This window comes from Homo sapiens, chromosome 19 (genome assembly GCF_000001405.40).
Source record: "Homo sapiens chromosome 19, GRCh38.p14 Primary Assembly".
Classification (NCBI taxonomy): Eukaryota; Metazoa; Chordata; class Mammalia; order Primates; family Hominidae; genus Homo; species Homo sapiens.
This window is the reverse complement of record NC_000019.10, coordinates 50,772,071-50,795,330: the sequence shown is the minus strand read 5'-3', so window position 1 is coordinate 50,795,330 and position 23,260 is coordinate 50,772,071. Positions and strand designations below refer to the sequence as shown.

General features: G+C 51.2%; 2 protein-coding genes and 1 long non-coding RNA gene across 3 annotated transcripts, besides 7 other annotated features; 2 read left to right on the top strand and 1 right to left on the bottom strand.

Moving 5' to 3' along the window:
• On the bottom strand, positions 112-4,916 carry ACP4 (acid phosphatase 4). The gene is made up of 11 exons (NM_033068.3): positions 4,806-4,916; positions 4,633-4,737; positions 4,471-4,557; positions 3,529-3,675; positions 3,160-3,258; positions 2,994-3,089; positions 1,515-1,647; positions 1,361-1,443; positions 750-874; positions 367-545; positions 112-288 (listed from the first exon to the last, which is right to left on the bottom strand). The coding sequence occupies exons 1-11, from the start codon at positions 4,914-4,916 to the stop codon at positions 173-175; spliced, it is 1,281 nt and encodes a 426-aa protein (NP_149059.1). The 3' UTR covers positions 112-172.
• Positions 237-296: a silencer, noted in NCBI's record as "silent region_10977". NCBI's record gives its function as "represses an Ori minimal core promoter by ATAC-STARR-seq in GM12878 lymphoblastoid cells {active_cell/tissue: GM12878}" and the evidence as "EXISTENCE:reporter gene assay evidence [ECO:0000049][PMID:35858748]".
• Positions 767-896: an enhancer, noted in NCBI's record as "active region_14997". NCBI's record gives its function as "activates an Ori minimal core promoter by ATAC-STARR-seq in GM12878 lymphoblastoid cells {active_cell/tissue: GM12878}" and the evidence as "EXISTENCE:reporter gene assay evidence [ECO:0000049][PMID:35858748]".
• Positions 987-1,046: an enhancer, noted in NCBI's record as "active region_14996". NCBI's record gives its function as "activates an Ori minimal core promoter by ATAC-STARR-seq in GM12878 lymphoblastoid cells {active_cell/tissue: GM12878}" and the evidence as "EXISTENCE:reporter gene assay evidence [ECO:0000049][PMID:35858748]".
• Positions 2,033-7,950, top strand: LOC105372439 (uncharacterized). Its single transcript, XR_936026.3, has 4 exons — positions 2,033-2,366; positions 2,827-2,926; positions 5,616-5,713; positions 6,889-7,950. It is a non-coding gene; the product is annotated as an uncharacterized LOC105372439 (long non-coding RNA).
• SMIM47 (small integral membrane protein 47) lies at positions 9,171-9,603 on the top strand. The gene is made up of 3 exons (NM_001384597.1): positions 9,171-9,241; positions 9,330-9,389; positions 9,508-9,603. Exons 1-3 carry the CDS (start codon positions 9,227-9,229, stop codon positions 9,517-9,519), a joined length of 87 nt encoding a protein of 28 aa, NP_001371526.1. The 5' UTR covers positions 9,171-9,226; the 3' UTR covers positions 9,520-9,603.
• Positions 11,425-11,719: a silencer, noted in NCBI's record as "tiled region #1509; HepG2 Repressive DNase unmatched - State 12:CtcfO". NCBI's record gives its function as "represses a minimal TATA promoter and a strong SV40 promoter by Sharpr-MPRA in HepG2 cells {active_cell/tissue: HepG2}" and the evidence as "EXISTENCE:reporter gene assay evidence [ECO:0000049][PMID:27701403]".
• Positions 14,605-14,775: an origin of replication, noted in NCBI's record as "20mer1 M amplicon; peak of nascent strand synthesis detected by PCR of lambda exonuclease-treated nascent DNA". NCBI's record gives the evidence for it as "EXISTENCE:nuclease protection assay evidence [ECO:0001106][PMID:16707432]".
• Positions 14,688-14,707: an origin of replication, noted in NCBI's record as "20mer1; can confer replication of a plasmid". NCBI's record gives the evidence for it as "EXISTENCE:genetic transformation evidence [ECO:0005027][PMID:16707432]".
• Positions 16,894-17,718: an enhancer, noted in NCBI's record as "H3K4me1 hESC enhancer chr19:51280870-51281694 (GRCh37/hg19 assembly coordinates)". NCBI's record gives its function as "activates a minimal SCP1, AML or CMV promoter by ChIP-STARR-seq in naive H9 embryonic stem cells {active_cell/tissue: H9 hESC(naive)}" and the evidence as "EXISTENCE:reporter gene assay evidence [ECO:0000049][PMID:30033119]".

The window sequence follows — 23,260 nt, the reverse complement described above, 5'->3', positions numbered from 1 at the left end:
ACCGTCACACAGACACATGCACACACAAACTAGTTTCCAGGCCGGAGACTCCACACAGCCCTCGCTCCCCATGCACACAGGCGCACAGTAAGTCACAGAAGCCAGAGCAGCTACTGAGCATACATGTTGGGGTCCAGTGTCAGCTGGGGGTAGGGAAGCCCTGGTTTCTGGCTCACACGGGGCCCCCCAAGGCCCGCAGGCACCCTGGTCTCCAGGCCAGCAGGCCCAGCCCCAAGCTGAGTGCCACCAGCACAGCTACAGCTCCGGCCAGCAGGGGCACCACTGGAGCTGCAGGGAGAACACGCGGGGGGTGAGTGCCAGGACTTGGCAACCCTCCACTCCCACCCCAACACAGAGGACTGTCACCTGGGGGGATGGCAGCCTCATAGGGGCCATGGCAGGAGACCCCATGGGCGGGAGGCCGGGCCGGGGCAGTCAGCTGGTAGAAGCGGCCTAGTGGACAGGGGGCCGGGCACCCGGGGAGGCTGAGAGGCAGGGGCAGGTGGGCGGAGTCATTGCGGTAGAAGAGGGAGACGGTGACATTCCTGGAGAGAGAGGACATGGTGGCACCTCCTCCCTCCTGTCATTGATCTTAAAGCCTGGAGAAAAGGGCTTCTGACTCCCACCTGTCATCCTCCCAGCATCATCCCATGCAGCTCCCCACCTGGCCATGCCCTCTGCCTGACACATCACCCCTTGCTTTGAGAGTTCTGTCCCACCCATGTCCCTGGGCACCAAACCATTCTCACCCTCCATCTTTGGCGGGATTCCCCAGGTGCTTCCGGAACTCAAAGCCGAGGCAGGCAGCATATGGCGGGGTGTGTCCATCATAGAGGCCCAGGGCCCCCTGGAGGGCCAGCAGGGTGCTGTCATGCTGCAGGTGGACCCGAGGGCTGAGACGGCACTTCTCTCTGGAGGCCTTTCTCCTGAGCACTACACTTGCGCATCCAGATGTCCCCCAGGCTTCTTAGAACCAACCCCCCAAAGCTACTCCTTCCTCCCATCCTGAAGGCAGTACCAACATTTGCAGGCGGCCACTTAATAAAGATTGCTCAAGTAGGTGCAAAATATGATTGGACTAAGCAGCCTTTCTCCTCCGGAAGGACAGACTGCTTAGTCCAATCATAGTTTCTTAAAGAAAACAAGGAATTATATTTATTCATAAATTCTTCCTCCCATAACACCGTCACCTCCCTCTTTCCAGACTAATGGTAGAGCCTGAGAGTAGGGTTTGGAGATACGGGTTACCCCAGGCAGTGGGCTGAGATCCACTGGGACCACAGGCTCTTCCTCACCTAAATCGCTGTCACCCTCATCCCTGTGCCTCAGTGCCATGTGGCACTGCTTCCCAAGGACTCACAGCTGAGTACATGACCATCTTGAGGGGCAGCCCCAGGCGCTGGACCCGGGAGAAGTTTGCAAGGATAGCATTCAGCAGGATCCCTGAGGATGGGAAAAAAGAGCTTAGACTCTCCCAGAGGAAGGCACCCCAGCCTCCCAGACCCACACCTCACCCCCTGTCAGCTGGGCCTTCTCTGCTGCCCGGGGTGGGCCCACGTGGGCTCCAATATCCAAAGCCGAGATCTGGGCAAGAGTCCGCAGGACATCTGGGGAGGCCCAGGCTGGTAGTGGAAGACCGTGGGCTTGCTGTGGGGAGACAGGACAGATGGACCATCCTGAGCCCTCGAGTTTGCCTCTGGCCCCGCAGGCCTGTGCTGCCCCCTGCTCTTCTGAGTCCCCCCATGGGCCGGATCTGGATCTGGCTGGGAAATCATGATGTGGATAACAGTGTTTTTTTGTTGTTGTTTTTTGTTTTGAAACGGAGCCTTGCTCCATCACCTAGGCTGGAGTGCAGTAGCGCAATCTTGGCTGTCTGCAACCCTTGCCTCTCGGGTTCAGGTGATTCTCCTGCCTCAGCCTCCCAAGTAGCTGTGATTACAAGTGTGTGCCACCATTCCTGGCTAATTTTTTTTTTTTATTTTTAGTAGAGACGGGGTTTTACCGTGTTGGTCAGACTGGTCTGAAACTCCTGACCTCAGGTGATCTGCCCACCTCAGCCTCTCAAAGTGGTGGGATTACAGGTGTGAGCCACCACACCCAGCCAACAGCGATTATTAGTTAATAATAGACATCGTCATTACACAGCCCAGAAGGCTTTATCTGAAACCCCTGGGGCCAGAGGTATTTCACAGCTCAGACATTCTGGACTTTAGAAAGGTCTGATGGTGCTGACACCACACAGCATGGAACACACACAGCAAGGGCCGGGGCAGCCCCCTTAGTCACACACATCACTGCTCCCACCCTGCGATTCAGAACATTCCCGTGAGCTGGAGTGAGCAAAGACTAGCAAGAGTACTAGCTGGGTATGGTGGCTCACGCCTGTAATCCCAGCTCTTGGGGAGGCGAAAGGATTGTTTGAGCCCAGGAGTTCCTGGGCAACATAGACCCCATCTCTGCAAAAAATTAATTTTTTTTTAATTAGCCAGGCATGATGGTGTGCCCCTGCCTGCCTCAGCTACTTGGGAGGCTGAGGCAGGAGAATTCCTATAGCCAGGGAGATGGAGGCTGCAGTGAGCTATGATAATGCCATTGCACTCCAGCCTGGGTGACAGAGTGAGATCCTGTCTCCAAAAAAAAAAAAAAAAAAAAAAGCATTGCATCATTTCAGGTCAGCTCCCGCTGCCCAGGTTTTGGGTTTTCTGATTATAGGACTGTGGGGAGGAGTTGCCAAATGTGTAGCCTCAAACCCTGGCAAGGCCCTCACTGTACACCAGGCACTATTGTAAGCACAGTGCGTGGATTAACCCATTTGAATCCTCACAGCGTCCTGGGGAGGTGTTGATACCGGTGTTGCCATCCCCACTGTGCAGATGGGAAAACTGAGGCACAGAGGATTAACTACATGCCTGAGGGAACACAGCTAGTGAGTAGCAAGCTGGGATTGGAAACAGGTGTCCTTAAACCCTTGGCTGGGAAGGGGCAGGGCTCACCTGGCACATGAGGGTGTCCAGAACCTTCCATGCCCTGCGCAGTGGCTCTCCAACCAGCGACAGTCCCGTGAAGTTCTCCAGGCGACTCAGGAAGCCCTGGATGCGCGGGGCTGGGTGAGCCCAGGCCCATCCCCTGCATCCCGCCCCCCACCGCCGCCCTGCTCACCGTCCAGCCCTCCAGGGCCTCCTGGTACTCGGCGGCCTCGGTGGCCTCCCGCAGCAGCTCGTGGTATCGGGGACAGCTGCGCATGGGGAACCTCAGCAGCTGGGGAAAACTGAGTCTCAGAGAGGACAGCCGTGTGCCTTGCCTTGGGTCTCACAGCGGGTCGGGGGAACCCGGGCTCTCGGCCCCTGCGTCTTTGTCGCAGTTTCTCCCAGATCCAGGAGAGCAGCGTGGGCCGGGGCTCACCCTGGTCTGGACAGACCAGCTCGAGGACAGTCTTGCTTCTCGGAGCCAGCTCAGGCGGCCAGACCCAGAGCTGCCTCTCTCTCCACCCGCTCCCTCCCTCGCCACACGTGGGTCCAGCCCCCTGACCTTATCCTCAGCCACGGGCACCGTGTGCACCGGGATCGGCCTCCAGCGGGCCTCGGGGCTCCCTGGAGCAGCCTCGGGAAACAGCCCGGCAAGGTTGGCCTGGGCACTCTCCAGCGTGCGGTCAAAGTCCGTGCTGCGGATGTACACCTGGAGCGGGGTGGAGAGAGGGCACGCGGGGGGTCGTGGTTGGGGACAGAGGTCAGCTGTCGTGGCAAATCAGAAGCCTCAGATTCACTTTGGAGTAGGGGTCAGACACTGAGAATCATGTGGCCTTCGAAGTTGGAAGTTGGGATCAAGGGTCCAGAGGCTAATGTCAGGAGCAGTTGGGCTGGACGTCCTAAGCTGGACAGCCATGTTGGATTTAGGGGGTCAATTGAGTCAATGAGGGTCAAAAAGGAAGATCAGAATCAGTAGAGGCTGGAGGTTAGAGGTCAAGTTTAGGAGGGCAGCTTGGAGGACTTGGAGTCAGAGTTCAATACATGTTCTTCAGAGGTTAGGAGGACTGTCTGTAGCTGGGGGATGTCAGAAGACATAGGAGGAGACAGAAAAGGTAGGTCAGAATTGATAAAGCGTAGAGGTTAAAGGTTAGAGGTCAAGAGGGCAAGTTACGTCAACAAGGGTCAAAGATCGAAATCAAGTTTGGGGTCAAATGTCAGAGGCCAGAGGTCTGACTGGAGTCAATGGGACTTAGAAAACAGAGATGGAGGCCAGAAAATAAAGTCAGAGTTGATGGAGGTCAGAGGTCGAGATGTGACAGGTTGAGATGGGGTCAGAAGTCAGTGTGGGTTAGTCAGTGTATCGGGGGTCAGAGATTAGAGGTAGAGGGCAAGTCAGGTTGATGGAGGTCAAAGGCCAGAGGTGGAGGCCCAAAGAGAGCGTTGTAGTCAGTGGAGGTCACAGGTGGGAGGTCAGGGGGCCAGGTGGGGGTCACTATGGCCCTACCTCCTCCCGCCGGTACTCCGGACTCAGGAAGGCCTCGTAGCGGCTCCTCAGGAAGCGGCCCAGCTCCAGCTGCTGGCGGACCCCCTCCTGGGGACAGAACAGCCTCAGCCTACCACTCCCCACCCCTCCCACCCTTGCCCTCACCGCCTACCCGCTTCTCACCGTGGTCAGCTGGCCCAGGCCTCGTGGCCACAGGGTGGAGGCCACCTCCTTGTGTGGGTCCATGGGGTAGGAGGCCAGCGGGGCCCGGTCGCCATGGCGGAATACCTGGGGACAGGACTGGTCAGGGCTAGCCCTGGGGGAGCTAAGGGCAGGCCGGGGTGGGGGCGCCTCACCAGAGCCACGAACACCAGGGGTCCTTCTGGCAGGGCCCGGGGTGGCAGCACCAGCAGCAGCAGCAGCAGGAGAGGTCCAGCAGGGTGGCCCCAAAACCCCAGGCCGGCCATTTCCACCCAGCCCAGACGCTGAGCTCAGCCCACTGTCTGGGCCGCAGCCCCGCCTGTCCCAGCCCTGCACTCAGCACCCCCATTATAGCAGGCCCTGGCACGCTCCCCCAGGGGCCACAGATCCCATTCCCCAGCGCCTCTGCCAGCCTTGGATTAACCCGTTTCATCTTCGTTTCATCTTCATCGCTGCCCCAGGAGACACTGATGTGCTTACCACCATCCCCATTGTACCGATGGGGAAACTGAGGCACAGAAGGGTTCCCTAACTGGCCTGAGAAAACACAGATTTCTCAGACAAAGCTGCGATTTGAACACAGGTGCCTTTAACCTGGTTGCAGACTTGGACAGAGACCCCCACCCCACATTGTTCGTCTCAGCAACAGTCTTGACCCCCTGAGTTGCAGAGGCTGACGATAGTAACTATGTGCTTGATTTTCTGTACTCTGATGCTTTGACATCAGGGGCCTTGCTGATCGTAGAAGGACCACCCCTCCCAGGGTTACCAGTTCCTGGAGATAGTCAGGGACTGGCCCAAGCGCATGCCTCTCCTGTACAAACCAGCCAACCCACCACCCAGGCCACCATCCACCTGCCCTGATCACCCGGGGCAGGGTATCGGACAACTCAGGACAGCCCCTGTGCCCCAGAGCCTGCTGAAATGGCGCAACCAGCCACTCTTTACCCTACCTTATCCCACAGAAAACACAAGGAAGCCGCTTGCTCGTGGTCTACCTCCTGGGCACCATTGGTGCGTCCCCATGTGGCCCCTGTGGCATGCCCCCTCCTCTGGGGAAGCTGTGAGTATAACAAGTCATCTTCCTTTCTTTCTTTTTTCTTTTCTTTCCTTTTTTTTTTTTTTTTTGAGATGTAGTCTTACTCTGTTTCCCAGGCTGGAGTGCAGTGACACAGTCTCAGCTTGCTGCAACCTCCACCTCCCAGGTTCAAGCGATCCTCCTGCCTCAGCCCCCCTAGTAGCTGGGATTACAGACACACGCGACCATGCCCGGCTAATTTTTGTATATATATATATATGGCCAGGCTGGTCTTCAACTCCTGACCTCAGGTGATCCACTCGCCTCGGCTTCCCAAAATGCTGGGATTACAGGCATGAGCCACCATGCCCAGCCAACAAGTCATCTTTCAATGGCAATCGTCTGCTGCTCAGGCGGCCTCACCATCCCACAATGCTAATAAAATCTACACTTCGCAGCACCACCTGGGGCTGGCTGGCTCTCCTGCCTCACTGCGCACAGTCAGCCTCCAGTCCTGTCCTAGGTTTTTGTTGTTTTTTGAGACAGGGTTTTGCTGTGTTGCCCAGACTGCTCTTAAACTCCTGGGCTCAAGCAATCCTCCCACCTTGGCCTCCCAAAGTGCTGGGATTACAGGTGTGAGCCCCTGCACCAGATACAAAAGTTTTGTGAATCTCTGTCTCTCCTCGTACTTGAAATAGGGTAGAGGCCCCTGGAATAAAGAAGTAGAAGGGCTGGAGGCTTAAGCCAGACCAGGAGCTGGCAGCTCACACCTGTAATCCCAGCACTTTGGGAGGCCAAGGTGGGAGGGTTGCTTGAGGCCAGGAGTTCAAGACCAGCCTGGCCAATATGGTGAGACCCACCCCCCGCACCCGACTCCATCTCTATAAAAGATAAACAAAAATTAGCCAGGCACGGTATGGTGGCATCTGCCTGTAGTCCCAGCTACTCAAGAGACTGAGATGGGAGGATCACGTGAGTCCAGGAATTTGAGGCTTCAGTGAGCTGTAATTGTGCCTTTGCACTACAGCCTGGACAACAAACCAAGAGCCTGTCTCTAAAAAAAACAGAAAAGAGAAAAAAATCCTGAAGCAAAATTAAGAAACTAGAAACCACGTTCTAGCCCCTGGAGATGTCAGCACTTTCCTATCTACTGATGTATTGGCTGCTGTGACAAGTTACCACTCAGTGGCTTAAAATGACACACATTTATTCCCTTACAGTTCTGGAGGTTGGAAGTCTAAAATCAATATAACTGGGCCAGGCATGGTGGCTGACACCTGTAATCCTGTCATTTTGGGAGGCCAAGGTGGGCAGATCACTTGAATCCAGGAGTTTGAGACCAGCTTGGGCAACATGGTGAAACCCCATCTCTACTAAAAATACCAAAAAACTGGCCAGGTGTAGTGGCATATGCCTGTAGTCCCAGCCACTCATCGCTTGAGCCTGAAGTCGAGGCTGCAGTGAGCCCTGATTCTGTCACTCCACTCCATCCTGGACGACAGAGTGAAACCTGATGTTTAAATGCAGTTTTTCATGTATGTACTTCTTACCAAAATGAGATCATACAGAACCTGCAATTTTGTAACCTGCGTCTTTCAGTTAACCTCCTCTTCTCCTTGGCAGTAGTGCTTTCGTCTTGTCTGATACCCATTCCCTATTCAAATGTCCCTCCGTTTCTCCCCAAAGAGACTTTGTCTTGTTTTGTTTTTTGAGACAGGATCTCACTCTGTCACACAGGCTGGTGTGCTGTGGTACGATCTCGGCTCACTGCAACCTCTGCCTCCTGGGTTCTGATGATTCTCGTGCCTGAGCCTCCTGAGTAGCTGGGACTATAGGTGCACACCACTGCACCTGGCTAATTTTTGTATTTTTAGTAGAGACAGGGTTTCACCATGTTGGCCAGGCTGGTCTCAAACTCCTGACCTCAGGTGATCCGCCCACCTCGGCCTCCACCCACAAAGAGCCTTTATAACTTGTTTTGTCCAAGCCAAAACCCGGTCCAGGATCACCCCTCAAAGCTGGTCTTGTGTCTCTTAACGGATTTTTTTCAAATATAGCAAGGCTACTTGCTTTTGTTTTGCACTGTGGCATGGATTTGTTGGAGAGACGGTGCCGTTTGCTCTGCAGAATGTGTTGCCTTCTGGAATGTTCTGGGTAGTGCCGTGAGGTACCGTGTTTACAATCAATTCTTGTTATTCATAGTAGCGATGTTGTATAACTGTGACCACTGAATCAGCAAATAAGGACCCATTGCTTCATTAATAAAAGTATATATTTTTCTATTTATTTTCTATTTATTTATTTATTTTTATTTATTATTATTATTTTGAGATGGAGTCTCGCTCTGTTGCCCAGGCTAGAGTGCAGTGGCACAATCTCGGCTCAATTTAACCTCCTCCGCCTGGGGTTCAAGTGTTGCTGGTGCCTCAGCCTCCCAAATAGCTGGGACTACAGGCGTGCACCACCATGCCCGGCTAATTTTTTTGTTTTTTTGTTTTTTAGTAGAGATGGAGTTTCGCCATGTTGGCCAGGCTGGTCTCAAACTCCTGACCTCAGGTGATCCTCCCGCCCCGGCCTCCCAAAGTGTTGGGAAAACAGGTGTGAGCCACCGGCACCTGGCCTATATTTATATATATTTAAAGAGATGGGGTCTTACAATGTTGCCCAGGCTGGCCTTGAACTCCTGGGCTCAAGCAATTCTACTGTCTCACTTAACCAAAGTGTTGGGATTACAAGCATGAGCCACTGCACCCAACCCTATATATATGTGTTTGTGTGTGTGTGTGTGTGTGTGTGTGTGTGTGTGTGTGTATACATATACACACACACACATATATTTCCCCAATAAGTGTTCACAGTTGTACAACATAACTACCAAAAATAGCGAGACTATATCTGCCACAAATAACGCAAATAGCTACCTGAGTAGCAGATTGTATAGTCCCCATTTTTGTGGTAGCGATAGATAGGTAAATAGGTATCTCACAAATGTATCATATGTATTTTATTTTATTTTTTCTTAGTTGTTAGTTGTGGAGACAGGATCTCACTCTTGCCCAGGCTGGAGTGCAGTGGCGTGATCTTGGCTCATGGCAGCCTCAACCCCCTGGGCTCAAGTGATCCTCCCATCTGGAGGAGGAAATTTTGCCTGGGCCTCCCTTACTGTTCTCCTGGCCTGCAGGCTCCTGTTTTGAGATATTTCTATACCCAGAACTGACCTGGTCCCTCCCCTGCTCTCAACCCTCTCATGGCTCCCCAGCACCCTCCGGGGCAAAACCCAAACACCTCAGTATGGTGTTCAGGGTTGAGACTCTCCAATCTCACACGTCCCGATGTCACATTCAGACACCACATGTGGCGGGCCACACCAGGGTCTGTATCTGCCCTATGCCCCTGCCTGTCCCCTCTACCAGAATGCCCTTTCCCCGTTGCCATGGCCACCATTCTGGTCTCTCCGACAACCCCCTCTCGGAGTTCCAGTGGCTTCTCCCCCCTCTGGCTCAGAGGCCCAGGAAAGAGAGAGAAGACCAACCAAGGGGTGGCTGGAGTCCCAAGGCCATGAACTTTCAGGAAGTGAGGAGGGGTCTGGCAGGGAAGGGAGGCCTGGGGCTGGGCAGAGGGCAGGGAGGGGAAGGGTCCTGACCTCTGATCTCCCCCCCAGAATGTGACCCTGGCCATGGCCTTGTTCACCATCCTGACCTCCATCTATTTCTTCAACAAGGTGAGCGGGAGAAGAGCGGAGGTGGGGGCTGAGTCTCTGTCTCCCTGGTCCAGTTCTGTCATCTTGGTCTCTCTTTCTCTCCCACATCTCTGTATATGTCCCTGTTTTCCTCTCTCAGGCTCAGCAGTGAGAAGACACAGGACCTCCCCGCACAAGAGCCCTGCCTCTCCCTCTGCCATCGCTCTGAGGCCAGATAAATGTAACTGAATCCGCACATCCTGCTCCGCCGACCCACTGCCCTTGCGCCCGGCCTCGGGCCTACACCACACCTGGGGCTCTGTGTTTCAGAAGGGAGTGGGGTGGGGGTCCGGACTCCAGGGTCTGAGGTAGGAGAGTGGTGAGGACCCACCCTCGCAGGTTTGAGGCTAGGAGCTGGGAATCTGCGCTGGGTTTTCAGGGATGAGTAGGAGTCTGTGGGGAAATTCCAAGAAGAGGAAGAACATTTCAACCTGGTGTAAGGGCACAGAGGGAAGAACAAGCAGGGCACATTGAGCACCCGGCACCAACACAGGCTGCTGTGTACTTCGGATTTGTTATTTCCCTTGATCCCGTGATTTCTTCTCCATCAGACAAAGGCGAAAATCTTTGTCCAATGGGCCCCAAAAAACCACAGCCAGGGCAGCCAGAGATCCAAAATGTGAATGCACTTTGTCAGCTGCAGTGGGTCTGTAGTTATCGTCATCATCTTCATCACTGTCATACTGTATCAACACATCTTCCTCTTTTTTCTTTTCTTTTTGAGATGAGATCTCACTCTATTGCCCAGGCTAGAGTGCAGTGGTATGATCATAGCTCACTGCAACCCTGAACTCCCAGGCTCAAGCAGTCCTCCTGCCTCAGCCTCCTGAGTAGCTGGGACTGTAGGTGTTCACCACCATGCCCAGCTAACTTTTTAATTTTTTTTAGAGACAGGGTCTCACTATGTCACCCAAGCTGGTCTCTAACTCCTGGCCTCAAGCAATCCTCCTACCTCAGCCTCCCAAAGTGTTGGAATTACAGGTGTGAGCCACTGTGCTCAGCCTCTTTTCTTAACAAACTCCTATTTAACCTTCAACACCCACCAGCAATGTCCCTTCCTATAAAAATGTGCAGACCCGCCCCCACAGGCAGTTCGCTAGCAGCCCCCTTGCTTAGCGCCCTTCCCCCACCCCCTGCCTCTACCTCCAGCATCCTCAGGTCAATGCCCTGGGGGACACTTCCACCTTCAATTGCATTTCACCTACCTTCTCATCTAGTCAAAAGCAATTTCATTTCAGCTCAATATCTGAAAAGCCAGCTTTGGAGTAGGGTTGACTGCACGTGCTAGGTTTTCCTGAAAAAGCCCAACAAATTTCCTTCCATCCCTCCCTTCCTTCCTTCCTTCCTTCCTTCCTTCCTTCCTTCCTTCTTCCCAGAGTTTTGCTCTTGTTGCCCAGGCTGGAGTGCAACAGTGCAATCTCAGCTCACTGCAACCTCCACCTCCTGGGTTCAAGCAATTTTCCTGCCTCAGCCTCCCGAGTAGCTGGGATTACAGGCATGCGCCACCACGCCTGGCTAATTTTGTATTTTTAGTAGAGATGGGGTTTCTCCATGTTGGTCAGGCTGGTCTCGAACTCCCAACGTCAGGTGATCCACCTGCCCCAGCCTCCCAAAGTACTGGGATTACAGGCATGAGCCACTGTGCCCGGCCTCACCAATTTCTTTTTATTTTATTGTATTTTATTTGAGATGGAGTCTCGCTCTGTTAAACTCAGGCTGGAGTGCACTAGCGCGATCTCGGCCCACTGCAACCTCCACCTCCCAGGTTCAAGCAATTATCCTACCTCAGCCTCCCAAGTAGCTGGGACTATAGGCACCCGCCACCACGCCTGGCTAAGTTTTGCATTTTTTGTAGAGACAGGGTTTCATTATGTTGGCCAGGCTGGTCTTGAACTCCTAACTTAGTGATCTGCCCGCCTCGGCCTCTCAAAGTGCTGGGATTACAGGTGTGAGCCACCGCGCTTGGCCCCAAATTTCAGTAATAAACATTCATAGTTGCACTATAATTTTATCTCGAATTAATAGAAGTTTTGTGGATCACCAACATTTTAGGCTAATGTTTTAGCGTCAGTGGCAATAGTGCCCTCCTGAAGTTCTCAAAAGCTTCCCGATTTGGAGGCTGGCTTTACTTTCAAATTCTTGGCTGCAAAACTCCAAATAACCACATAGTGGCGGTGTTGCACTATTTTCTCAGCCAGAAATTGGTTGCCTTAAGGGTTGAGCGCAAGAAATAACTTTGGTTTTGGCAAAACCACAACTGTTTGTTTGTTTGTCTGTCTGTCTGTCTGTTTTTGAGACAGAGTCTCACTCAAAACCACAATTTTTTGAGACCGGGGGGCGGGGGGTCCTGGCCACTTCCTCCCTCCTCCCTGCCTGGGCTTCCTCCCCCACTGGACCCTCACCCCAGCCTTCTCTCTCTCTCCTCCAGTCCTCAGAGGGGTCCTCCGGGACCCAGAGCTGACCCTGTCCCTTTCTCCTCACAGCCCTCCAGTGGCCCTGTGCCCCCACCCAAGATAAGAATCCCAGGCCCTCCACTGAGCATTGGAGGCTGCATGTAACCTGACCCCCTCCAGGCTTAAAAAAAAAAAAAAAATCTCACCCACCTCCCATGCCCACCCTGGTGTATTCTTGGCCACGGCGAACTCGAAGATAGTCCCAAATGCAGCACCACGCGTTTGCACTGCTGGGTCCCAGCCTGGAATGCCCTTTCCCATGTCTTTGTTTGTTTGAGACGGAGTTTCGCTCTTTCGCCCAGGCTGGAGTGCAGTGGCGCAATCTCGGCTCACTGCAACCTCCGTCTCCCAGGTTCAAGCGATTCTCCTGCCTCAGCCTCCCGAGTAGCTGGGATTACAGGTGCCCACCACCATGCCCAGCTGATTTTTGTATTTTTGGTAAAGACAGGGTTTCACCATGTTGACCAGGCTGGTCTCGAACTCCTGACCTCAGGTGATCCGCCCGCCTTGGCCTCCCAAAGTGCTGGGATTATAGGCAGGAGCCACTGCGCCCAGCCTCCCATGTCTGTTTTGTGTCACTTCCCTACCTCTCCCCTGAGGCTTCCTTGAACGCTAAGCAAAGTCAGACTCTCCTGTCTGCTGCCCCAACTTTGCCTCCCCTTATTCCCGGCTGTGACAGGGAGCTTCAGGGTGGGGTCGCTCTGAACAGCATCTGACCCCTGCTGAACCCACAGTTGGGGCTTGGCTGTCAACGTTTGGGAAACACTTTTTTTCATTGTCGTTAGCTACCATTTATTAAGCACCTCTTGTTTGCTAAGCCACCATGCAAGTTACCGTGCAGTGTGTTTTATGAGGTCATCTCTACACCCAGTCCTGTGTTGAGCGCAGGATGGGGGTGGGGGGTGCCATGGAGGGAGCAAAAAAAAAAGACACCATTCCCACCCTTAAGGAGTTGACAGTACATGGAAGAAGATAACATCAAACCTTACATTTGTGCAACAGTTCACAGTTTTCTTTTTTTTTTTTTTTTTTTTTGAGACAGGGTCTCACTCTGTCACACAGACTGGAGTGCAGTGGCGTGATCGTGGCTCACAGCAGCCTCTACCTCCTGGGTTCAAGGGATCCTCCCACCTCAGCCTTCCTAGCAGCTGGGACCACAGGTGCACGCCACTATGCCTGGCAATTTTTTTTTTTTTTTTTTTTTTAGTAGAGATGAGGTCTTTTTATGTTGCCCAGGCTGGTCTTGAACTCCTGGTCTCAAACAATCCTCCCACCATGGTCTCCCAAAGTGTTGGGATTACAGGCATGAGCCACAGCACCCCCACCACCACTAACGAATATTGACAACAAAGCTGGTCTTTGCATTTTCACCCCAGTTTCCCATCCGCACCCCAGGGTTTGAACCACTCAGTGCTGCCTTTCTCAGTCCTCTGGGAGCTATCAAGGTTGGATTTTCTTTTTCTTTTTCTTTTTTTTGTTTTTAAGACGAAATCTCGCTCTGTCGCCCAGGCTGGGGTGCAGTGGCGCGATCTCAGCTCACTGCAACCTCCACCTTCCGGGTTCAAGCGATTCTTCTGTCTCAGCCTCCTGAGTAGCTGGGATTACAGGTGCCATCACACCTGGGTAATTTTTTTGGTATTTCTTTTTCTCTTTTTTTTTTTTTTTTTTTTTTTGGAAATGGAATCTTGCTTTGTCACCCAGGCTGGAGTGCAGTTACAAGATCTTGGATCACTGCAACTTTCTTTCACCTCCTGGGTTCAAGCGATTCTCCTGCCTCAGCCTCCCAAGTAGCTGGGATTACAGGTGTGCACCACCACACTCGGCTAATTTTCGTATTTTTAGTAGAGACGGGGTTTCGCCATGTTGGCCAGACTGGTCTCGATCTCCTTAATTCAGGTGATCCACCTGCTTTGGCCTCCCGAAGTGCTGGGATTACAGGCTTGAGCCACCATGCTCGCATTTCTTTTTTCTTTTGTATTTCTAGTAGAGACGGGGTTTCACCATGTTGGCCAGGCTGGTCTCAAACTCCTGACCTCAAGTGATCTGCCTGCCTCAGCCTCCCAAAGTGCTGGGATTATAGGCGTGAGCAACCATGCCTGGCCCGAGGTTGTATTTTCACAACCACAGAGAGATGGGTCTCAGCCCAGCTGCCCGCAGAAATCCCTGGGGAGGTCTTGAAATTCCCAGAGCCGAGCTCCACCCTGGACCACTTAAACCACAAGGTCTGGGGATGGGGCCCGGGCATCGATTTTATTTTAAAAGCTCTCCCTAGAGATTCTGCTGTGCAGCCAGGGTCAAGAGCCCTCGCTGTAATGCGTTCCCAGAAGACAGAGGTCGATTTTCCTCCTCTTGGAGCTGAGTGCATTTCAGAGGGAGCTCCGTGGATACATCAAAGACTCAAAACATGGGGCCAAATTTACATTTTAGTTTGGAAACATTCAGGAGCTTGAAAATGAAGGAACGTGAAGCACATTGTTCCCCAGGGCAGAGGGCCTGGTGCGCATGGTCGGAAGGCACTTGCATATTTCACAACAGACTCCTTCAGAAACCAGAAAAGCCGGTGGCCTGCTCCTGTCCCTCATTCTGTCCCATGTGCGAGGACCAGCAAGCTCTGTTTGCACACAAGTAGAGATGGGGTTTCACCATGTTGGCCAGGCTGGTCTTGAACTCCTGACCTCAAGTGATCCACCCACCTCGGCCTCCCAAAGTGCTGGGATTACAGGCGTAAGCCACCGCACCTGGCCTCTGAGGCGTTTTTGAGATCAGGGTCTGGGCCTGTCCTCTGTGGGTCCCCAGAACCTACGATCACAATGGGAGTCACACATTGAAAATGGGGCTCCCATTTTCAAGGGAGTGAATCACTGACACTTAGTAAACCCAGATCAATCAGCGTGAGACTGTATATGTGCAAAGGGGCATCGTTCAGCACTGGGCGCATCCCAGGCACGGGGGACACGGCAGCAAAGGGAACAGACAAAAATCCCCCACCATGGTGGGGGGACATTAGGTGTGGCTGTCACTCCCCCACCTTTTCCTTTTATTCCACTTGAACAAGAACGGAAACCAGGAAACCCACACCACATCTGGTGGTTCGTGGGGAAGGACCTGGGCTCTGGACTCCCACGGTTCTACATTCCAGTCTCGGCCCTGACATCCACGTCCTGGCTGGGACCTTGGCCCCCAGGAGCTGCTGTGCCCCAGCAGAGCTGCCGTGAGCATTGGAGATTACGGGGTTGCCCGTCACCAGGAGCAGAACCTACAACTCTGCAGCCACGCGGGGAGGGTTTCGGGAGCACGGGGCTGGGAAGGTGTCAGGAGGTGAGGATTCCCATGACAGCTATTTTCCGACACTTGATGACAGTCTGTCTCCTACGGCTGGGAACATCTCAAACCAGGCCACGATGGGGGTGCCGCCTCCCCTCCCGTATTGCCTGAGAGAAACGGAGGTAGTGATTAAGAGCGCGTGATTACCTCTCCTGCCTGGGAGGTGAATGTCTTTCTGTGTAATCATTCCGTTCAGAACTGTCTGCCCCCAGGCTGCGAGCTCTATGAGGGCAGACTCCATTCTATTCAGGCATGTTCAAATCCCCAGGGTGGCAGAGATTTGCACCTACTATGAGCTCAGCCAATACTTGTAGGGACAGGGTATAGCAAGGAGGCAGAGGCTGTAGAATCTGAAGGATGGAGAGTGTCAGCCCTGCCCTGAAATGTCAGTTTCTCCCCTGCAATGTTAGCCTCTCCCACTGAATGTTAGCACCCTTATTTGAATGTTAGCCCCTCCTCCTGTATGTCAATTTCTCCCCTGCAATGTTAGCTCCTCCCCCTGAAATGTCAATTTCTTTCCTATGATGTTAGCTCCTCCCTTCTGAAATGTCAATTTCTCTCCTGCGATGTTAGCTTCTCCCCTCTTAAATGTCAATTTTTCTCCTGCGATGTTAGCCCCTCCTCGTTGTTAGCTCCTCCCCCTAGAATGTCCATTTCTTCCCATGGATTGTCAGTTCCTCCCCTTGGCATATTACCCCCTCCCTCATAAAGGTTGGCCCCTCCTTTATTGCCTGAGAGAATCAGAGGTAGTGATTAAGAGCATGCAATTACCCTAAAATGTTAGAAACAGAGGTAGTGATTAACAGTGTATAATTGTACTAAAAATATTAGCCCCTCCTCCTGAAATGTTAGCTCCTCCTCCCTGGAATATTAGCTCCTCCCCCTGGGATGTTAGTCCCTCCCCTCTGAATGTCAATTTCTTTCCCTGGAAGATCAGTTTCTCCCTTTGGAATTTTAGCCCCGCCTCCTAAAGTTATCCACTCCCCCTAAATGCTAGCCCCTCGCCCTTAAATGTTAGCCACTGCCCCCGGCATGTCAGTGCTACTCCCTAGAATGCTAGTCCTTCAAAGGTAGGTATCTTTGTCTTCTTTGCCTTTCTCCCACACCAAAAACAGTGACCTTCACCAGACAGGCGCTCGGTAAACATAACTGGATGGGTTAATGGAGTCAGACCGGTCAAATTCCCATCCTACACTTACTTGCTTTGTGACTTTCTTCTTTTTTTTTTTTAAGACGGAGTCTCACTCTGTCGCCCAGGCTGGAGTGCAGTGGCACGATCTCGACTCACTGCAGCCTCAGCCTCCCGGGTTCAAGCAATTCTCGTGCCTCAGCCTCCAGAGTAGCTGGCGTTACAGGCATGCACCACTACACCCGGCTAATGTTTGTATTTTTAGCAGAGACGGGGGTTTCATCTTTGGCCAGGCTGGTCTCGAACTCCTGACCTCAGGTGATCCGCCCCCCTCAGCCTTCCAAAGTGCTGGGATTACAGGCGTGAGCCACCGTACCCAGCCAGCTGTGTGACCTTCGGTAAATGACTTTACCTCTCTGAGCCTCGAGTTTCCTCCTCTGTACAACGGGAATAATCGCAGCACCGCCCTCAGGGTTGTGATGCTGACTTTGGGAGTTCACATGTTTAGAAAGCTCTGGACAGGGCCTGGTACTTAGGTCACGATCAATACCTGTGAGCTGTCATTATTTAAGGGATGAAGGCGTGAATCGCAGTCTTCAGCTGTCTTAGCAATTCTGTTGGATACGAATTTTTAGTCCCTGCTTGGCAGAGTATAATCCGGAGGCTTAACTCACCTTCCACGACTCTCTCTCGCCGAGGCTGCCCAGGAAAATGCCAGATCCTCTCAAGCACGGGGCCGTGCCCAGCTCCCGCGCGCTCCCCGAGACTCAAACCCACCTCCACCACCGCGCCTGGCTCTGCCCCAGCAAAGACCACGTCTCCCCAGGGAGGATCCTGCAGCCAGCTCTAAAAACCGCAGAGCCTCCTTGGAAGAATGCTGAACCGCATTCATTAGAAAATCAATGCAAATTAAAAACCTCCCCGGGATCCCACTTTTCTCCTCTGAGAAGGCAAAGATCAAAGAGGCTGACTTGGCGGTTGCTGCGTTGGCGAAGCCGTGGGAAACAGGCTTGCAGAGCGCTCGCGGCGGCGTCTGCGACATCGAACACTCCCTCTAACCCGGCAGTTCCCCAGGAGGAATTTATGCAACAGAGGATGATACTGATCACAGCAAACACATCGCACCTCCTCGGTGCCAGGCACGGAGCCAAGCGCCCCACCCACGGCAACGCAAGTCATCCTCACAGGGACCCTCTCAGGGAGCTACTGCCATTATCCCCATTTTACATTGGTGGAAACTGAGGCACAGAGAGTGGAAGCAACTTGTGTCCCATTGTGCTCTTCTGCCTTCTTGAAGCATTCACAAAAGTACACAAACACAAACGTAAAAGAATATTATTGTTGGTTTTGTGTGTGTGTACCTGTGTGCACACATGAGAGAGAGACAGAACATGGAAAAGAGTATTTCTCCTTCCAAAGAACCAGCTTCTTACTATTGTCCATAATTTTTTACTTAAAATTAACTCCCTCTAATCTCTATGAACGCTTTCTTTCAACTTTCAGTGCACTATTTTATAGCTTTTTTTTCTTCCTGAATTGTTTGCTTTGCTAATTTCCTCTCGGACTTTCTCTCTCTCTGTCTCTCTCTCTCTCTCTCTCTCTCTCTTCTAATTACAATTAAATTAAAGGCTGAGTGCAGTGGCTCACGCCTGTAATTTCAACACTTTGGGAGGCCAAGGCAGGACGATGGCTTGAGCTCAGGTATTTGAGATCAGCCTTGGTAACATAGCAAGACCCCATCTCTACCAATAAATTAATTAATTAATTAATTAATTAAACAAATAGCTGGGCATGGTGGAGATACTGGGGAGGCTGAGGTGGGAGGATCACTTGAGCCTGGGAGGTTGAGGCTACAGTGAGCAATGGTGCCACCATACTCCAGTCTGGGTGACAGAGTGAGACCCTGTCTCAAATAAACAACAACAACAACAACAAAACAAATAAATAAGCTATAGATTTTCCTCTGAGCACAGCTTTGGCCCCATCTCATAAGATTTTTTAAAAATATTTATTTATTTATTTATTTTTGAGACAGAGTCTTGCTCTGTCACCCAGGCTGGAGTGCAGTGGCACAATCTCAGCTCACTGCAACCTCTACCTCCAGGGTTCAAGTGATTGTCCTTCCTCAGCCTCCTGAGTAGCTGGGACTACAGGCATGCACCACCACACCTGGCTAATTTTTGTATTTTTAGTGGAGATGGGGTTTCACCATGTTGGCCAGGCTGGTCTCGAACTCCTGACCAGAGGTGATCTGCCTGCCTCAGCCTCCCAAAGTGCTGGGATTACAGGTATGAGCCACCGCGCCTGGCCGTAAGTTTTTATATGTAGTGTGCTTTAAATGAAGTAGAACTTAAGTTTTAATTAACAGTTGAACCAAGATGTTATTTAGAAGGGTGTTTTGCAATGTCCAAGGCAATTGAAGCATTTTTTTCATCTTTTGTTATTAATTTCTAAATTTGAATATGGCCTGTATTACCTCTGCTTTGGGGAATCAACCTATGTTTTATTTGTGACCTAATGCATAGTCTTTTTTTTTTTTTTTTTTTTCAAGGAGAGGCAGAGAATATCATTGCAGGATCCTGCTTTTTAAAAAATGCTCCATGCCAAGGGCAGCGGCTCACACATGTAATCTCAACACTTCGGGAGGCTGAAGCAGAAAGATTGCTTGAGGCCAGGAATTCAAGACCAGCCTGGGCAACATAGCAAGATTCTGTCTCTACAAAAAAAAATTTAATGAGGGCATGATGGCACATGCCTGTCGTCCCAGCTACTTGGGAGGCTGAGGCAGGAGGATTGCTCGAGGCTGCAGGGAGCTATGACCATGCCACTCTACTCCCGCCTGGTCAACAAAGCAAGAACCTGACTCAAAAAAAAAAATTGCTCTAAAGTTTATTATTGGAACAGTTAGGAAATTTGAATATGGCCTGTTTATTAGATAATACCAATGGTAAAGTTCTTGAGGGAGATAATAATATTATAATTTTACAGGGAAAATGCTCTTGTTCTTAGAAGATACAGGCTGAAGAATTAATAGGTAAAATATCGTGACGTCCTACCTGCGCCGACTTTAACACAGTTCAACATTTTTGGGAGGTACCTCTGAGCATTGTGCCCCTTGCAGCACAGTGGGTATGCTGAGGGCTCCCTCCCTGGGTTTCCCAGACCTCATGTCCCCGTCTTGTCTGCTCATCATACTGGAGGTACTACAGTGCGTGGACAGATGGAGAGAGAGACCGACAAAATGTGAGGATGGACAAATATCAGCATTGATATATTTAATTGAAATATATTGGCCAGGGTGGGGAGACTCACGCCTGTAATCCCAGCACTTTGGGAGGCCGAGGCGGGTGGATCACCTGAGGCCAAGAGTTTGAGACCAGCCTGGCCAGCATAGAGAAACCCCATCTCTACTAAAAATACAAAAAAAAAAAAAATTAGCCAGATGAGGTGGCACATGCCTGTAATCCCAGCTACTAGGGAGGCTGAGGCAGGAGAATCACTTGAACCCGGGAGGCGGAGGTTGCAGTGAGCTGAGATCGCACCACTACACTCCTGCCTGAATGACAGAGGGAGACTCCATCTCAGAAAACAAAACAAAACAAAACAAAACAAAAGTTATCTTTAAAGGAGATGGAGGACTGACTGAGAGGGCGAGGAGGTGGGAGGGGAGCCCTGGGGTGGCCACATTGTTTTATGGCTGGGTTGCCTGGTTGTTCACTTAGTGATAAATCAAACAAATTCCCCCCATTCTATTTTCTTTATGTATTGTTCAGAATGTGTGTTTTATTGAATAATTTTCAAAGTTTCAAAAATATCATTGCATCAAATTCAAAGCAACTCATCAGTAGGGGATTAGGGAACACTACTTCCGTGCACAGTATATACATATAAGGGAATACTTAGCCACCACCATTGAAAAGTCATGTGCTAGATATCTTATGTATTGCCGTCCCAAAGGTATACTCTTTGGAAAATACTCACGATGTAGAATCATAGCTATGGCATGCTCTATTTGTGTTGAAAGTGCTTATGCACTGGGAGCGGTGGCTCACGCCTATAATCCCAGGCACTTTGGGAAGCCAAGGCGGGCAGACCACCTGAGGTCAGGAGTTCAAGACCAGCCTGGTCAACATGGTGAAACCCTGTCTCTACAAAAATACAAAAGTTAGCTGGACATGATGGTGGGTGTCTGTAATCCCAGCTACTCGGGAGGCTGAGGCAGGAGAATCACTTGAACCCCGGGAGGCGGAGGCTGCGGTGAGCCGAGATCTCACTGCTGCACTCCAGCCTAGGCAACAGAGAAAGACTCTGTCTCAAAAAAAAAAAAAAAAAAAAAGAAAGAAAGAAAGTGCTTATGCATGGGTTGGATACACAAAAAACTGGTAACAGTTTTCTCGTGAGAAAAAGTAACAATGGAGGATTTGGAATGAAAGGGAGGACTATTTCTCATCACTTTCAAGTTTTTTTTTTTAAATAATACTTTCCCCAGTTTATTTATTTTTAATCAGATCCACTAGTCAACAGAATAGGTAGGTCTCTCTCTCTCTCTCTCTCTCTCTCTCTTTCTGTGTGTGTGTGTGTGTGTGACAGAGAGAGAGAGAGAGAGTTAGAGAGAGAGACTCACTGTGTCACCCAGGCTGGAGTGCAGTGGCACGATCTCAGCTCATTGCAACCTCCACAGCCCAGGCTTAAGTGATCCTCCTATCTCAGACTCCCACGTAGCCAGTACTACAGGCATGCGTCACCATGCCAATCTCTTGTACAGATGGGGTGTCATCATGTTGCCCAGGCTGGTCTCGAATTCCTGGGCTCAAGCAATCCTCCCCGCTCAGCCTCCCACAGGAGTTAATTTTTTTAAGGTGCGTCTGTGTTTCCTGGCACTCAGTCACTGTGTCATTTAATCTCCTCATCCAGAAGATGGAAACACTTGCTTCTATTTTATAGACTTGGGGCAACCGAGGCTCTGAGAGGTGGAGTTCTCAGGGCAAGTCAGAGCTGCTGCTTTTTTTTTTTTTCTTTTACATTTCTTTTATTTTCTTTTTCTTTCTTTCTTTTTTTTTTTTTTTTTGAGACAGAGTCTCAGTCACACAGCCTGGAGTGCAGTGATGAGATCTTGCCTCACTGCAACCTCTGTCTCCCAGGTTCAAGCGATTCTCCTGCCTCAGTCTCCCAAGTAGCTGGGATTACAGGTGTCTGCCACCATGCCCGGCTAATTTTTGTATGTTTACTAGAGACATAGCTCTTATCATCCTGCAGGCTGGCTTTTTCGTGTGATGGTTGGGGAGGGTTCCAAGAGTAAGGAAAGTATGAGGGGGAGGCTCAGAACTCTGCACAAGGTGACTAGCACTCAAGCTACTGGTCAAAAAGCAAGTCACGAGCCTGGCTTAGATTCAAGGTGTGAGGAAAGGACTCCACCCCTTGATGGGAAAATCTAAAGAGTGACATTGCTAAGGAGCACGCATGCAGGAAGGTATGCAGAACGGGGGCCATTTGTGTAATCTGCCACAGCAGCCCTGATGCAAAGCTACCGTGTCCCCCGGGAGTCCCTAGGCCAGCCCTGAGATGCTTACACCCAGGTTGTGAAAGGGGAGGTTTCAAATCCCAGCTCATTGAAGCCACTGTTATTTTGTGTCTCTCCTGCAACAGCTGAATCTACCCCTTAACTATTAATTATGCTGCCAACCTCTGGAACTTGTGTGAAGTGACTTGATAAATTTCCTTATTGTTGAAGCCAGTTGGAGTCAGGTTTTCTGTTACTTAAAACACCCCAAAACCAAACTGATGCATGTAAAGAATAGTCCTTTCTGGGGATTGAAGTCCCAGTGGTCCCTGGTCACAACAGGCCATTCCCTTGGCTCTAGGTCGAGGCAAAAGAAAAATGTCATGCAATCCAGAAGCTGTCACACCACTTGCTCATGATTCAAAGAAGTAGTTCTGCCCAGGTGTGGTGGCTCATGCCTGTAATTCCAGCACTTTGGGAGGCTGAAGCGGGCAGATCATTCAAGGTCAGGATTTTGAGACCGGCCTGGCCAACATGGAGAAACCCCATCTCTACTGAAAATACAAAATTAGCCTGGCATGGGGTGGCACATGCCAGCTACTCAGGAGGCTGAGGTGAGAGGACCACTTGAGCCTGGGAGATTGAGGTGGCAGTGAGTTGTGATCACACCACTGCACTCCAGCCTGAGCAACAGAGCAAGACCCTATCAGAAAAAAAAAAAAAACTTATATTTTTAAGCCTCTAAACATGGAAGGTTTTTGTTACACAGCAAAAGGTAACTGATACATCTGCATTCCGGACAATAGAAAGGGGGAAATGGGGAAATGGAGGGCAGACCCCTTCCATTTAAGGGGCCCTTGAAGGAAGTTACATTGATTGCTGCCTCTTACATCCTATTGGTCAGAAAGCAGTCACATGGTTGTACCTACATGCAAAGGATACTGGGAAATGTAGTCTTTCCTTTTTTCTAGTTAAGCACCGTGCCTCATTAGAACACAGGAGTTTTACTACCAAAAAAGGGGAGGCCAGGTGCTGTGGCTCACACCTGTAATCCCAGTAGTTTTGGGAGCCGAGGCTGGAGGATCACTTGAACTCAGGAGTTTGAGACCACTCTGGGCAACATGATGAAACCCCGTGTCTACAAATTACCCAGGTAGCACATGCCTATAGTCCCAGGTACTAGGCAGGGTGAGGGGAGGTGGGGGGTGGGGCGTGGGGAGTCCTGAGGCAGGAGAATGGCTTGAGCCCTGAAGGTCAAGGCTGCAGTGAGCCGAGATTTTGCCACTGCGCTCCAGCCTGGGTGACAAAATCAGACCCTGTCTTTAAAAAATTTTTAAAAAAAAGAAAAAGAGAGGGAAAGAATGGGCCAGGTGCAGTGGCTCACGCCTGTAATCCTAGCCCTTTGGGAGGCCGAGGCAGGCGGATCACAAGGTCAGGAGATTGAGAC

Bases quoted from the DNA above. Each gene is read 5' to 3' on its own strand.
- ACP4 (NM_033068.3), bottom strand. From the start codon at position 4,916: ATGGCCGGCCTGGGGTTTTGGGGCCACCCTGCTGGACCTCTCCTGCTG. The intron at 3,090-3,159 runs GTGAGCAGGGCG...CCGCGCATCCAG, and splicing joins AGGCCCTGGAGGGCTGGACG to GGCTTCCTGAGTCGCCTGGA. The intron at 1,648-2,993 runs GTGAGCCCTGCC...GTCTCCCCACAG, and splicing joins TGGACACCCTCATGTGCCAG to CAAGCCCACGGTCTTCCACT.